General features: G+C 40.6%; 1 protein-coding gene and 1 long non-coding RNA gene across 6 annotated transcripts in view, besides 2 other annotated features; one reads left to right on the top strand and one right to left on the bottom strand.

The window, feature by feature from the left end:
• The window catches only part of ZNF609 (zinc finger protein 609), a 226,491-nt gene that overhangs the window by 109,711 nt on the left and 100,269 nt on the right, over nt 1-16,511 (top strand). The window lies entirely within an intron of this gene.
• Nucleotides 1-16,511, bottom strand: part of LOC101930091 (uncharacterized) — a 92,612-nt gene that overhangs the window by 27,188 nt on the left and 48,913 nt on the right. The gene's annotated exons all lie outside the window — the stretch shown is intronic.
• Nucleotides 2,878-2,947: an enhancer, noted in NCBI's record as "active region_9572". NCBI's record gives its function as "activates an Ori minimal core promoter by ATAC-STARR-seq in GM12878 lymphoblastoid cells {active_cell/tissue: GM12878}" and the evidence as "EXISTENCE:reporter gene assay evidence [ECO:0000049][PMID:35858748]".
• Nucleotides 2,978-3,077: an enhancer, noted in NCBI's record as "active region_9573". NCBI's record gives its function as "activates an Ori minimal core promoter by ATAC-STARR-seq in GM12878 lymphoblastoid cells {active_cell/tissue: GM12878}" and the evidence as "EXISTENCE:reporter gene assay evidence [ECO:0000049][PMID:35858748]".

The raw sequence follows: 16,511 nt of genomic DNA on the forward strand, positions 1-16,511 counted from the left end.
TATAAGAGTACCAGGAGAGCTAGAACCTCATCTGTTTGGTTTCCCTTATTCTCAGGAACTGTAGAAAAATGCCTGACACATAGAGGATGCCTAATAAATATTTGTTGAATTAATAAAGTGGTAACAGTAATTCTACATTATGTTTGAGATAGTTTAGGAAAACCTCCTGGGGACAATTTCCTATCAGTTCCCTCATGCTCTTTCCCCAAGGAGTATCTTTTCTCTTAAATGCTAAAAGCCAAAGCCTTTGTTGTGCTTAGAAAATCCAAGCAGGTAGAAGATACTTCTGAATATGTAAAAAGTGTGCCAATTCAGTAGCCCCCTCCCCAGACTGGGGTTAGAGGGCTCCCTTTTGCTCTCACAGTGAGTCTCCTTGTGAAAAAGAATCAATAGTTTTATCATCTTGTCTTAGCACTTCTCCTTCTGAACAGAAATTTGTTGTTCAACCTTTGGGTTTATGCTGGAGAAACAGAATGCATTGATAAACCATCCTTTTGTGTGTATCATTGAGAGCCAAGATGGAAGCAGTGTTAGACAGCTAGTTAAGTTTTTTTCTGTAGTGTCTTTTCTGAGTTAAAAAGCAAATGCAATAAATGCCCACAGAATGTTCTTGACTTTTCTTTTTCTTTCTGGTGTATTTTTTTAAGCTTTAATTTATTGCTCTTGCACTGTGTGCCAAGAACGGAATTGCCTAGATCACATCTTACAATATCTCTATGAGATAGGAACTCTTTCTTTCTTACTTTTTAAAATAGAGATAGGGGTCTCGCTATATTGCCCAGGCTTGTCTCAAACTCCTGTGCTCAAGTGATCCCCCTGCCTTAACTTCCCAAAGTGTTGAGATTACAGGCGTGAGCCACTGTGCCTGACTGGCCGAGAGCTCTCTTATTCCCACTTTATACATGAGCATAGTGAGTTTTAGCAAGCTAAGAAACGTGGCCTGGTTGGTGGTTTGTGGAGCCAGGATTAAAATCCAGGTAATCTGACTTATATCTTCCACAGTTATAACTATACTACCTCTCATTATATCTTTTTCTCTTCTCATCTTTATCATTTAAATACTTTTATAAAAGGCATTTGAGATGGTTAAGCATAAATATGTTTCTCAAAGCAATAGATACCAGGAAAACAGTTCCTGGTGGCCTTGCTTAGAAGCCATGTTCTAATCAATCAAGATTCTTAAGGAAGAGTAGCATCATCAATTGTTCATGTATATTAGTAGATGAGTCTGGAAAGTGGAACCAAGGTTCTGGACTTCTTTGTTTCTTTAAGCCTTCTAATTATATTTTGATGATTATGGTCAAGTATATGGATTCTAGTTTGTCTTTAGTGAGAGATTCAAAAGGAGCATTGTGTTTAATTCTAGAAACTCGAGATACTAATATTATCACGATGAGTTCACTCCTATTATTTTCATGTTATGTTTTTTTGGATTAGTAAAATTAGCTTAGTTTTGGCCAGGCGCAGTGGCTCACACCTGTTATCCCAGCACTTTGGGAAGCCGAGGCAGGTGGATCACCTGAGGTCAGGAGTTCGAGACGAGCCTGGCCAACATAGCAAAACCTCGTCTCTACTAAAAATACAAAAATTAGCCAGGTGTGGTGGCACGCACCTGTAGTCCCAGCTACTCGGGAGGCTGAGGCAGGAGAATCACTTGAACCTGGGAGGCGGAAGTTGCAGTGAGCCGGGATCATGCCACTGCACTCCAGCCGGGGCAACAGAGCGAGACTCTGTCTCTAAATACATAAATAAAGCATATGATCTATATGGACAGTCATATCTTTTTCTTTTTAAAAGTCCATGCTGATGCTAGACGTAAGAGATGATTTGCACAGAGTAAGTGCTAAGGTTGATAACAAATTCCTTCTGTAGGGTGTTTATCCAAGAGGGGAAAATAGGAATTCTAGAGGGGAAGATATGAAACTTTTGGGTATAGATCCCTCAGCAGAGCAGAAACACAGAGGGCTTAGGCACCTCATAAGAAGAGCTAATAATACTGCCACTGATCATGGTGATAATAAGAAAGAGAGCAAACATTTATTTACTGTTTGCTAAATATAGTGCTGGCACTTTAAATGTATTATATGAATAGATTAAATGGGTTAATAAATGTAGAATACATAGAATAATGCCTGGTGCATGGTAAAAAGTTATATAAACAGCTGCTATTTTTATTGTACTTTTATATTTTTATATAATATATTTTTATTTTTTAATTTTTATTGTTATCCTTTTGGGTGGTGATTGTAATTATTCTTCACAGCAACCGTATAAGTTAAGTACTATTATTATCCATTTTACATATGGGTAAACTGGATGCCAGAGGTTAAGCCAGGAAATAGTAGAACAGGATTCAAACTCTCTAGTTTTATGTAGTTGAGTCTTTTTTTTCAGTCAGTCTCACTCTGTCACCCAGGATCGCCCAGGCTGGAGGGCAGTGGTGAGATCTTCACTCACTGCAGCCTCTGCCTCCTGGGTTCAAGCAGTTCTCCTGCCTCAGCCTCCCAAGTAGGTGGGGTTACAGGTGCCCACCACCACGCCTGGATAATTTTTGTATTTTTTTAGTAGAGACAAGATTTCGCCATGTTGGTCAGGCTGGTCTCAAACTCCTGACCTCAAGTGATCTCACAAAGTGCTGGTATTACAGGTGTGAGCCCGGCCTTGAGTCTTTGTTTGGTTAGGACTGCCTAGGGATATAGATAGCTATTCTACTTAGTGTTGCTGGAAAGTTGCCCTTAAGGAAGTGACATTTAGGCTGATACTGAAAGATAAAAAGCTAGGTATGCAAAAGTTGAGAAAGGGAAAGAGGAACTTTAGGCAAAGTACAGCAAGTGCAAAGGCCTGAGGGGAAATGGGTTTGACATGGTTCTGTAAACAAAAATGTCACCTTCTGAGTGAGTTCTTCCCTGAATACTGTATTTAAAACTGGCCAGGTGTGGTAGCTGATGACTAATTCCAACACTTTGGGAAGCCGAAGTAGGCAGATCGTTTGAGTCTGAAAGTTCAAGACCAGCCTGGGCCCCATTGTGAGACCTCATTCTTTACAAAAAATAAATTCGCTGGGCATGGTGGCATGTGCCTGTAGTCCCAGGTACTTGGGAGGCTGAGGTGGGAGGATCACTTGAGCCAGGGAGATTGATCCCTGTTTTATTTTCTCCATAACACTTATTATTGTCCCACATAGTATATAATTTATTTTGGTTGTCTCTCCCACAATGGGATATAAGCTTCCTGAGGACAGGGATGTTTGTCTGATTTGTTCATTGTTATTGCCAGGTCCTCCCTTAGCCCATGGGACTTTTTCCAGTAAATTAGAAAAGAATGCCAGGCACGGTGGCTCACACCTGTAACCCCAGCACTTTGGGAGGCCAAGGCAGGCAGTTCACCTGAGGTCGGGAGTTTGAGACCAGCCTGACCAACATGGAGAAACCACCATCTCCACTAAAAATACAAAATTAGCCGGGCATGGTGGCACATGCCTGCATACCTGTAATCCCAGCTACTCAGGAAGCTGAGGCAGGAGAATTGCTTGAAACCGGGAGGCGGAAGTTGTGGTGAGCCAAGATGGTGCCATTGCACTCCAGCCTGGACAACAAGAGCAAAACTCCGTCTTGAGAAAAAAAAGAAAAGAAAAGAAAGTCTCCTTTCCAAAAGGTTGTGGCTCCACGCGGGACACGTAGTTCGGCTAGAAAAGCATGGACCTAGATTTTGGCCTCCTCTTGCCTCCTCAGCCAATTATACAAGACATAATTGAGCAACCATTACATGGCAGTCCTAGGATGCATTCATAGTACCTAGAACAGTGCCAACGTGTAGCAGACATGAATAAATATTTGTAGAATGATGGAATAGTTTAGAGTGAAGAAGAGTGATTATGAGATGAGAAAGTAAGCAGAAACCAGGTCAAGTAAGACTTCTAAGGAGTTTGATCTTTTTTTTTTTTTTCCTAAATAGCAGTCAACTGACAAGTCCCATGGAATACTTTCCATTAAATCATAATCTGTATTTTCAAAAAGCAGTGCAAGTAATTCTGCAGTAGAGTTAGTGGCCCAACTTTCTTTTTTTTTTTTTTTTTTTTTTTTTTGAGACGGAGTCTTGCTCTGTCGCCCAGGCTGGAGTGCAGTGGCGCAATCTTGGCTCACTGCAAGCTCCGCCTGCCGGGTTCATACCATTCTCCTGCCTCAGCCTCCCGAGTAGCTGGGACTACAGACACCCGCCACCATGTCTGGCTAATTTAATTTTTTTTTTTTTGTATTTTTAGTAGAGATGGGGTTTCACCTTGTTGAGGATGGTCTTGATCTCCTGACCTCGTGATCCGCCCACCTCGGCCTCCCAAAATGCTGGGATTACAGGCGTCAGCCGCTGTGCCTGGCTAGCAGGCCAACTTTCAATACTTTTGGACCTTCAGGGATCCATCTCCTGCCTATTTCACCCTTGTCTATTTGGCATTTTACTTTGCCTGCATATGTGGGTTTACCATGTTCTTTCAAACTCTGTGCAAGGGAGTTTGGGATGAACTATATGTAAAATATTCATTTTTTTCCTTGCAACCCCAAATCCAAACACAGTTGGATGGAGTTTTTAATCAGGGTTATTGCAGAAAACCCAGGACCTCAGGTCCTTGTGATTGAGTGGTGAATGAAGGGGAAAATGAGGCCACTTGAACATTATTCTGTTTAGGAACTTGCTGTATGAATTAGTAGAGACCATCACATTTTTCATCAATTCCTGCTCTCACCACACCCCGCTCTTGCCCCTGCTAAAAAACTACCAGCCTTCTCTCATGTTATGATTTAGGGGCCCCTGTTCACTGAGGGGCTAACAGCTGGAATTGTGGCACTGCATTAGCCTTTTTTGAGCTTTTATTTCTCTTTCATGCTGGATTTTTTTTTTTTTTTTTTTTTTTTTGGCACCCACACCCCATTTGAGAATTTACTTTCTCTCTGAGAAGTTTTTGTCAGTAGTTTTTTGTTTTATTGCCTTTTCTGTGATAGGTTAAGGATACAGCTTGGTAAAGAAGGAACCTGCAGGGGTTTATTGATGGAGTTCCTGTCCCACCATGCCCTAGGCCTAGTACATACATGCTTCTGATGAATCACTGCTGTTAGTATTTAGTATCTCCTGATCCTCATAGTCCATATTATGCAAAGCATAGAATCTGCCCAAGGGACTTAATAGCTGAATCACTCACTTGATCTGTTGTCTTTCACTCTTTCTTCCCTTTGTTGGTGGCTACAGGCAAGTATATGAGAGATATAAAACTGTAAGCAAGACAAAATCTGGACTACATATCTTTATTGCTGCTTGGGAAGTGGCCTGGGAGTTCAAATTCAAGGATTTGAAGCTTTGTACAGCTGCCCCAGATAACCTGCTCTCATTGGGATGAGGATGAAGTATTTCCACATGATTGCTCAAGTCCCTTTTCTCTTTGCCCTGATGCCCCCTCCCTCCTCTCTATTTCATTAATTGCTTAGCAGTTGCTGATGGAATTAAAACGAAATGTGTCTGCAGCCTCTGTGGTTTGCTGTCAGAACTCTCTTTCTAAGGTCTTTATCTTACTGCTAGGGATGGGTGAACATCTGATTTTGAAGCAAGAGGAGGGAGGGACCTGTGGCTGTAGTTAAATGCATTTTTCTAAAAGCAGCAGCTTGCAGAGTTGGACTCCTCCTGAAGCACTATTCATTTTACCAAGCCATGCCCTAGTCCCTTATGCTGTTCATTAATGGGGCTTGTATGTGGCAGCACAGTATATAGAAATGAATCCTGCTGAATTGCTTTTGTTGGTGATGTGGAAAGTGCTTTTCATTTTTAACTAAGAACAAGAAGGAAACAGCCTCAAAGTGTGAAAGAGTCAAAACCAAATCCCGGGGTTTCTGTGGAAGACAAGAATCTGGATATGGCTGAGGCGGGTGGATTACCTGACATCTGGAGTTCAAGACCAGCCTAACCAACATGGAGAAACCCCGTCTCTACTAAAAATACAAAATTATCTGGGTGTGGTGGCACATGCCTGTATTCCCAGCTACTCAGGAGGCTGAGGCAGGAAAATCACTTGAACCTGGGAGGCGGAGGTTGCAGTGAGCCTAGATCGCACCATTGCACTCCAGCCTGGGCAACAAGAACTCCATTTCAAAAAAAAAAAAGGAAGAAGAGGGGAAAACCAGAGGTTATCTATAATCAGTAGGATTTTTTTGCACATACAGAATTTCTGGCAATAATAATCTTTTGGACACAGGATGGGAATAACAACCATGGAGGAACTTCTGTTTTCTTAGGGAGGTCAACGTATTTATTTTCTCTTAATACCGAATTCTCTTTTCTTATTCATGGTTTTGGTTTTGTGTACTATTAATTATATAAATTAATGGGATCCCAGGTAGTATTTGTATATTTACAAAAAGGTTATGAAATTTAAGCAAGGTAAACTTAAAGATAGCCACTTGAATTTTGCCAAAATTTGGAACTTAATCTACATTCTAACCAAGCAAGCTGGTTTTATCTGAGAAAATATAAATAATTACTTGATATACTTGGCCGGGCAAGGTGGCTCACGCCTGTAATCCCAGCACTTTGGGAGGCCGAGGCAGGTGGATCACGGGGTCAGGAAATCAAGACCATCCTGGCTAACGCAGTGAAACCCCGTCTCTTCTAAAAATACAAAAAATTAGTCAGGCGCGGTGGCGGGCACCTGTAGTCCCAGCTACTTGGGAGGCTGAGGCAGGAGAATGGCACGAACCTGGGAGGCGGAGCTTGCAGTGAGCCGAGATCGCGCCGCTGCACTCCAGCCTGGGCGACAGAGCGAGACTCAGTCTCAAATAATAATAATAATAATTACTTGATATACTTGAAAAATTAATAAAAATGGGGGCTAATCAGGATTAGGCACCTTGAGAAACCAAAACCCCTGGTTTGCCTTCTTTTAGGTCAAATTTATCTACTTAGTTTATATTATAACTTACAGGTATAAATGTGGTTGTTGTTATTAATAATAATCTTTTATTCAGTGTCTACTTGCTGCCAGTTTCATGAGGCTTTCTTTAAACATTAATACTGACTTTAGGCTAGCTTAAATATATTATAAATTCTGATACAGATTTCTCTAGTCATGTGCTTCTTAGTTATGATGTCAATTCAGAATTTTTTATCAGAATTTTGTTCTAGAAAAAAAAAAAGTCAACACACGTCACTGCTATAAATTATATCCCAGAATGGGGGCTAAAATAAACTTGCAATATCTTTAAAAAATCTAACTTCCATGCCCTATTCTAGAAAGCTACTGGATGTTTCTACGAAAAGGAAGATGTGATAGAGGAAAGATGAAATTCAATAAACAAGAAAGGTTAAAGGAATCCTCAAAATAGTGGATGGAGCCAGGCGTGGTGGCTCAAGCCTGTAATCCCAGCACTTTGGGAGACTGAAGCGAATGGATCACTCGAGGTCAGGAGTTCGAGACCAGCCTGGGAGGTGGAGGTTGCAGTGAGCTGAGATCATGCTACTGCACTCCAGCCTGGGAGACAGAGCGAGACTCCATCTCAAAAAAAAAAAAAAAAAAAAAAGAATGAACTGAAGGCCCATTTTAAGAATCATATATATACACATATAAATATATACATATATATGTATATATACATATATGTGTATATATACATATAAATATATACATATATGTATATATACACATAAATATATATATGTATGTATACACATAAATATATATATGTATGTATACACATAAATATATATATGTATATATACACATAAATATATACATATATGTATATATACACAAATATATACATATATGTATATATACACACAAATATATACATATATGTGTATATATACACACAAATATATACATATGTGTATATATACACACAATATATACATATATGTGTATATATACACACAAATACATATATATGTATATATATACACACAAATACATACATATATATGTATATATATACACACAAATATATACATATATGTATATATATACACACAAATATATACATATATGTATATATATACACACAAATATATACATATATATGTATATATATACACATATATGTATATATATACACATATAAATATATACACATATATGTATATATATACACATATAAATATATACACATATATGTATATATATACACATATAAATATATACATATATATGTATATATATACACATATAAATATATACATATATATGTATATATATACACATATAAATATATACATATATATGTATATATATACACATATAAATATATACATATATATGTGTATATATACACATATAAATATATACATATATATGTGTATATATACACATATAAATATATACATATATATGTGTATATATACACATATAAATATATACATATATATGTGTATATATATAAAGAAAACAAGGTCGGGTATGGGGACACATGCCTGTAATCCCCGCTACTTGGGAGGCTGAGGCAGGAGAATCGCTTGAACCCAGGAGTCAGAGGTTTCAGTGAGCAGAGATCGCACCACTGCACTCCAGCCTGGGCAACAAGAGCGAAACTCCGTCTCAAAAAAAGAAAGCAGGCTTAGTGCAGTGGCTTATGCCTGTAACCCAACACTTTAGGAGGTCAAGGTGGGAGGATTGCTTGAGGCCAGGAGTTCAAGACTAGCCTGGGCAACATAGTGAAACCCACCCCCCTTCCCTGCAAGAAAACAGAAAAAATAAAATATAGATAATTATTTTTTATCTGCTTGTTAGGATATGAATGACTTTGTAAGTGTGACTGCATAGGGAAAAAAACATAAAGGAAAAGATTGATAGATTTTTACTAAATAAAAGTTTAAGATTTATTTATTTATTTTTTTATTTTTTTGAGACAGTCTTGCACTGTCGCCCAGCCTGGAGTGCAATGGCATGATCTCAGCCCACTGCGCCCAGCCAAGGTTTTTTTTTTATATCAAAAAAGGTTGTGAACATTACTGAATGATCTTGCTTCACTGCAGTCCTAAGTCTTGTCATTAGTCTATTTTAGTTATCTTATAGATTTTGGAGTTGCTCCCTCTCATTCTTTACTTGGAATGATTCATTTACAGGAAAATTAATTATTTAATAAGGTTTATGAGCCGGGCACAGTTGCTCACGACTGTAATCCCAGCACCTTGGGAGGCTGAGGTGGGCGGATCACAAGGCCAGGAGTTCGAGATCAGCCTGACCAACATGGTGAATCCCCGTCTCTACTAAAAATACAAAAATCAGCCATGTGTGGTGGCGTGCACCTGTAGTCCCAGCTACTCAGGAGGCTGAGGCAGGAGAATAGCTTGAACCCGGGAGGTGGAGGTTGCAGTAGCTGAGATCGTGCCATTGCACTCTAGCCTGGGCGACGGAACAAGACTCTGTCTCAAAAAACAAACAAACAAAAAATTATGACCAGACATGGTGGCTCAGGCCTGTAATTCTAGCACTTTGGGAGGCCAAGGCGCATGGATTGCGTGAGCTCAGGAGTTTAAGACCAGCCTCAGCAACATGGCGAAATCCCATCTGTACAAAAAAGTACAAAAACTATATGGGTATGGTGGCATGTGCGTGTAGTCCTGGCTACTCTAGAGGCTGATTGGTGGGTGGATTGCTTGAGCCCAAGAGGTTGAGGCTGCAGTGAGCTTTGATAGGGCCACTATATTCCAGCCTGGGTGACAGAGAGAGAACTTGTCTCAGAAAAAACAACAAAATTGTGCAGGATCTGGATTTTTTAAAAATTAAAAAAATTTTCATTAAAAATTATAAAACAAAAAAGATTTGCATCTACATTTTGCTATTTTTTTATGTCTTTTTTGTTCCTCTTTCCCTCCATCACAGCCCTCTTTTGTGTTAAATAGATATGTTCTATTGTGTATAGTGTAGGGAGACCCATCTCTACAAAAAATTTAAGAATTAGCTAGAACAGAGAAAACAAAAAGAAGTGATGGTACATGCAAAGAAGTGATGGTACATGCATGCCTATAGTCTCAGCTACTTGGGAGGCTGAGGTGGGAGGATGAGTTGAGCCCAGGAGGTCAAGCTGCAGTCAGTTGTGATTGTTCCATTGCTCTACAGTCTGGGTGATAGAGCAAGACCCTGTCTCAAAAAAAAAAAAAAAAAAAGTAGCCAGACCTACTGGCTCACACCTGAAATCCCAGGTGCGGGAGGCCTAGGCAGGTGGATCATTTGAAGTCAGGGGTTCGATACTAGCCTGGCCAACATGGTGAAACCCTGTCTCTACTAAAAGTACAAAAAAAATTAGGTGTGGTGGTAGGTGCCTGTAGTCCCAGCTACTTGGGAGGGTGAGGCAGGAGAATCACTTAAGCCCAGGAGGCAGAGGTCGCAGTGAGCTGTGATCTTGCTACTGCACTCCAGCCTGGGCGACACAGGAAAACAAACAAACAAAAAAAAAAAACTTGTGTTTTTGTATAGCTCTGTTCCCTTCTTTGTCCTTTGTGCTATTATTGTCATACAAATGACGTATACCCATCAACACATATTATAAATATTGCTTTATGCAGTTGTCTTTTAAGTCAGATATGAGAAAAAAGTTATAAATAAAAAATACATTTATACAGTCTTTTGTATTTACCTACTATGGCAGGTAGGCAGAATACTGCCTCCTCCAAAAAAAATCTATTTCTTATTCCCTGGAACCTGTGAATATGTTACCTTACCTGGCAAAAGAGATTTTATAGATGTGATTAAATTAAGGATTTTGAGGTGGGGGGATTAGCTTAGATTATCCAATGGTTCCAATGTAATCACAAGGGTTCTTGTAAGGGAAGAAGAGGGCAAGAGAGTCAGAGTCAGAGAGAGATTTAAAAATGGTATACTACTTAGTTTGAAGATGGAGGGAGGGGATGAGCCAAGGAATTTAGACAGCCTCCTAAAGCCTAGAAAAAGCAAGAAAAATGGATTATCTCCTAGAGCCTCCACAATGAAATGCAGCCCTGCTGACATCTTAATTTTAGTTCAGAGAGAACCATTTTAGACTTTTGAACTCCAGAACTGTATGATAATAAATTTGCATTGTTTTAAGCCACTGAGTTTATGGTAATAGTTTCTTATTGCTGCTGTCATTTAATACAGCTATGGGGGAGTTAGCTTTACTAACATTCTTTCTTTGTGTGGATTCAAGTTATTGCCTAGTGCCCTGTCATTTCACTTAAAGATTCCCTTTAGTATTTCTTGTAGGGCAGGTCTACTAGCAATGAACTCTCTCAGTTCTTTTCTTTTCTTTTCTTTTCTTTTTTTTTTTTGAGACAGAGTCTCGTTCTGTCGCCTAGGCTGGAGTGTAGTGGTGCAGTCTGCAACCTCTGCCTCCTGGGTTGAAGTGATTCTCCTGCCTCAGCCTCCCGAGTAACTGGGACTACAGGCATACGCCACCATGCCTAGCTAATTTTTGTAGAGATGGGGTTCCACCTTGTTGGCCAGGCTGGTCTCGAACTCCTGACCTGAAGTGATCCTCCCACCGTGGCCTCCCAAAGTGCTAGGATGACAGGCATGAGCCACCACGCCCAGCCTCTCAGTTCTTTTTTATCTGGGAATATCTTAATTTTTCCTTGTTTTTTAATGGATAGTTTTGCTGGATATAGAATTAAATACTCAGCAGTTGACAACTCTGTTTTCTAGTCTTCAATGTCTTCTTTTTTTTTTTTTTTTTTTTTTTTTTTTGAGACAGTCTCGCTCTGTTGCCCAGACAATTTTATTTTTAAATTTTTTTAGAGACGGGGGTCTCACCATATTGCCCAGGCTGGTTCAGTGGCTATTCACAGTTACACTCATAGCACACTGTGACCTTGAACTCCTGGCCTCAAGCTGTCTTCCTGCTTCCTCCTCCTGAGTAGCTGGGACTATATGCATGTCACCATCCTGGCCTAGCCTTCACTTTCTGCTTGTGCAGAGCTTCAAGGTCAACCGGAGGTGAGAGTTTAGGGCCTTCTCAGTACTTTACTGAGCGTGGCCTCAGCCCTGGGCATGTATACGTCCTTGTGCATACATGTGGCTTGCTTTTTTTAAAGATTTTCTTCTACTCTCAGACAATCTAGAAAACATACGGCTTTCTAGATTTCCAGGAAAGCCCTGTGAACATGTCCTTCCCCAGCTTTTCCTTTTAAGTTTTTTTGGTCAGGCAGCCACAAAGTTAAGCACTTCCCTATATTTTTCACAAATACTCCTACCTCCCAGGGAAAAGGCTTTTTATGCTGGGTAAGCTCTGAGTCTGGTCAGATATAGATAACCTTGCAAGTGGGGCCTTCCAGGGAACCACCGGAAAGGTCAAATAATGATAATTCCCTGGGAATGAAGCTTCACAGGCACGCCAACCCTGTTCTGCCCCATCTAGTGATTGTCAAGCTGCTGCTTTTTCACTGTGATTGCAGGCTTTTGATTTTTCAGAGCAGGAGATGGGAGTAGGGCAAGTTAAGGTGCTAACAAAGCTCAATGTTTCTTACTGATATTCAGGCGTTTTGCTTGAATAAATGCTCTTAGATTGTTGTAAGCCTTTGGTGTTAATTTCCAGAATTCTGAAAAACTTGATTTTGACAATTTTTGTTTTATGGAGAAGAGAATTTTCAAAGATCCTTTACTCTGCCAATTTTGCCAGTGTCCTCCCTCATTCTTTAAAGGCTTTTTTAGTTCCTGGCTCAGAGTCACCCTCTCCAACACTATTCCTGGCTTAATTCTTGGTAAATTCTATGTCCATATTAATTATCTTTCCAACATCTTTATTTCTTAGTTCCTTATCCATGTCTCTCCCAAAGATTTTTGACCTCTATCCTGTCTCAGCTACTACTCCCATAGTCGTACTCTAGACCAGTGCACCAGGACCAAGCTGTTTTTGTAAATAAAGTTTGTTTAAATATAGCCTTACTCCTTCATTTATGTATCGTCTATAGCCTCTTTCATACTACAACAGCCAAGTTGAGTAATTGCAACAGACACCATTGACTCTCAAAGCCTAAGGTATTTATTGTCTAACCCTTTACAGAGTTTACTGACTCCTGCCCTAGATCTAGTCAATTAGAGCTACATCTCCTCTGTTATTTCAGTATCAAGCATGCTATTCTTCCATCACTCATTTCTACTTTCACAACACCCTTCCTCTGGAATCTCTGCTCCGTCAATCCTTTGACACTGTGAATCACCACTGTTTGTACTGAGCATTACACTCTTTTTCAAGTACTTCCCTACTGAACTTGTATTCATTATAATTACTTTCTTCGCTACATTGTTAAATTTCTCACCGACAAAAACTCAGTCCAACTTTTTGCTTACTTCATGCCTGTATCTGTGTGTCTACATGTGGCTGAAAAAACTGTTCTGCCTGTTCTCACATTAAGTTCACAATCATTAGCCTTAAGCAATCCTACATTTCCCTATCCATTCACTCTTTCTTTCTTTCTTTCTTTTTTCTTTTTTTTTTTTTTTGAGACAGAGTCTTTTTTTTTTTTTTTTTTTTGAGACAGAGTCTCGCTTTGTCACCCAGGATGGAGTGCAGTGGCGTAATCTCGGGTCACTGCAACCTCCGCCTCCCAGGTTCATGCCATTCTCCTGCCTCAGCCTCCTGAGTAGCTGGGACTACAGGCGCCCGCCATCACGCCCGGCTAATTTTTTGTATTTTTAGTAGAGACGGGGTTTCACCGTGTTAGCCAGGATAGTCTCGATCTCCTGACCTTGTGATTCACCTGCCTCGGCCTTCCAAAGTGCTGGGATTACAGGCATGAGCCACCACGCCGGGCCAAGACAAGAGTCTTGCTCTGTTGCCCAGGCTTGAGTGCAGTGGTGCGATCTCGACTCACTGCAACCTCTGCCTCCCGGGTTCAAGTAATTCTCTGCGTCAGCCTCCAGAGTAGCTGGGATTACAGGCACCCGCCACCACACCCAGCTAATTTTTGTATTTTTAGTAGAGACGGGGTTTCATCATCTTGGCCAGGAGGCAGGAGAATGGCGTGAACCCAGGAGGCAGAGCTTGCAGTGAGCCAAGATTGCGCCACTGCACTCCTGCCTGGGTGACAGAGCAAGAGTCCATCTCAAAAAAATAAAAAATAAAAATTAAATTAAATTTAAAAATAAAAATAAAAGTGAGATACGATAGTCCTGTTTTAGAAGCTCTGTTTTCATTGGTGGGGCTTGTCATTTGGTGGCCCTTACTATAGGAAGGAGTTGATTGACCATTGATGAGGGACCATCCACCTTCCAGCATCTGTAGGTCTTTTGTCTTAGGCAAGTCATTTTTCCCTTAGAGGAATCAACCCATCTTTTGCCTGCTTTCTCATAGCCCAGAGGAGCAAAAAGGGGTTTGTGTTTGACTGTTGCTGTGAGTGTTTCATTTCATCTCTGTTCTTAGTTGTGCATGGTGCGGGTGAGTACCCAGCCTGTCCAACATATTCTGAGTAAATGTTCAGACTTTTGCTAGAATCGTGAATGTAGGGGAGGTGGGAGGAGGCTGCCTTGGGTAGTGGAGATGATCTAGAGCTCTGATTGTATCTTTTAGGACTTTGAGCGATCTTCCTGTTTTGAACCCTACGCTCTTTTCAGAGTACCTGATGCCACAAATTGCTGATCTTTTCCTGGGTTTTGAATGTTTGCTAACAGTTTCTTCACTTCCACCTCTACCAATTTTATAAGCTTAGGTTTCATCTTTTTTTGGTCTCTAGGTTAACGTTTATCCATCTGCTTTCCAGTTCCCAAAATGGTTTTCACATCTCTTGTCTGCTATTCTCTTCTCTCTTGCTCTTTGTCCTCAAGGATTTATGCCTATTTTTATTTGGTTTCATTTTATTGAGGTTTTAAAAAAGAAAGGAGGGGAATGTATAAGTAGAGCAACTAACCCTCAGTTGTACAGGTTGTGCCTTTTAAGAGGGTTCCCTGCTGATCAGAACTAGGATCTCTGACTCGGCACTTTGGGAGGCCGAGGCAGGTGGATTGTTTGAGTCTAGGAGTTTGACACCAGCCTGGGCAACATGGCGAAACCCAGTCTGTATTTTAATTTATTTATTTATCTACTTATTTTTATTTATTTATTTATTTTTTGAGACAGAGCCTTGCTCTGTCACCTGGCTGACAGACTGGAGTCCAGTGGCGTGATCTCTACTCACTGCCACCTCAGCCTCCCAAGAAGCTGGAATTACAGTTATGCGCCACCATCCCTGGCTCATTTTTGTATTTTTAGTAGAGACAGAGTTTCGCCATGTTAGCCAGGCTGGTCTCGAACTCGTGACCTCAAGTAATCCACCCACCCAGCCTCTCAAAGTGCTGGGATTACAGGAATGAGCCACCACACCTGGTCAGCCACTGCACCCAGCCCCATCTTTATGTTTATTTTTATTTCTTTTTTTGAGACGGAGTTTCACTCTTGTCCAGGCTGGAGTGCAATGGTGCAAGCTCGGCTCACTGCAACCTCTGCCTCCCAAGTTCAAGTGATTCTCCTGCCTCAGCCTCCCGAGTAGCTGGGACTATGGGTGCATGCCACCACACCCAGCTAATTTTTGTATTTTTAGTAGAGATGGGGTTTCACCATGTTGGCCAGGATGGTCTCGATCTCTTGACCTCGTGATCCACCCGTCTCAGCCTCCCAAAGTGCTGGGATTACAGGCATGAGCCACCACGCCTGCCTGCTATTTTTAAAAATATAAAAAATAAATAAGGAACTAGACTCTCTAAGAAAAAAGAAAAAAAAAAAGAGGGGGCCCTGCTTAAGGTATTTGAAATGATGGGTTAAAATCCATCCTGGGCCGGGTGTGGTGGCTCATGCCTATAATCCCAGCACTTTGGGAGGCCAAGGCGGGAGGATCACTTGAGGTCAGGAGTTTGAGACCATCCTGGCCAACATGGCAAAAACTTGTCTCTACTAAAAATACAAAAATTAGTCAGGCGTGGTGATGCACGCCTGTAATTCCAGCTACTCGGGAGGCTGAGGCACAAGAATCACTTGAACCTGAGAGGTGGTGGTTGCAGCGAGCCAAGATCGTGTCACTGCACTCCAGCCTGGGTGACAGAGCGAGACTCTGGGGAAAAAAAAAATCCAACCTGAGCTTGATTCACTGTGCCTTAAACTTGTTTAGCCCCGAGGAAGGTAGCTTCTCTAATTCACAATGGTCTTATGCTGAGGGTAGCCTTGGATATATGTATTTGTTGCTGTTGTCTTTAGCTAATAACTTGAATCTGAGGTATATTTCTGCTTTGTTTCTTTAAAATTCTGTAGTAAATTGTTAATGGTTTTTACTGGGTTAAGATATCCATTTTTTGGAAAAGGTCCCTATGTATTTCTTTTGAATATAGTAACAAATTAGTTTCATCTCTTAATCTCTAGACTAGTTTCCAGTGTAGCTAGCTAGTTGACACCTAATTGAGCACTCAGTAACCTTAGTTAATGCTCATTTACTTTTGCCCTCATGCCATCCAAACTCAGATTCAAGCATGACTTTATTACTTCAGCATTCTGCGTAATAAAATTCTTGTCCCATAAACAGTGACTCACAGAAGGAGA

The sequence above is a fragment of the Homo sapiens genome, chromosome 15 (assembly GCF_000001405.40).
Source record: "Homo sapiens chromosome 15, GRCh38.p14 Primary Assembly".
NCBI lineage: Eukaryota > Metazoa > Chordata > Mammalia > Primates > Hominidae > Homo > Homo sapiens.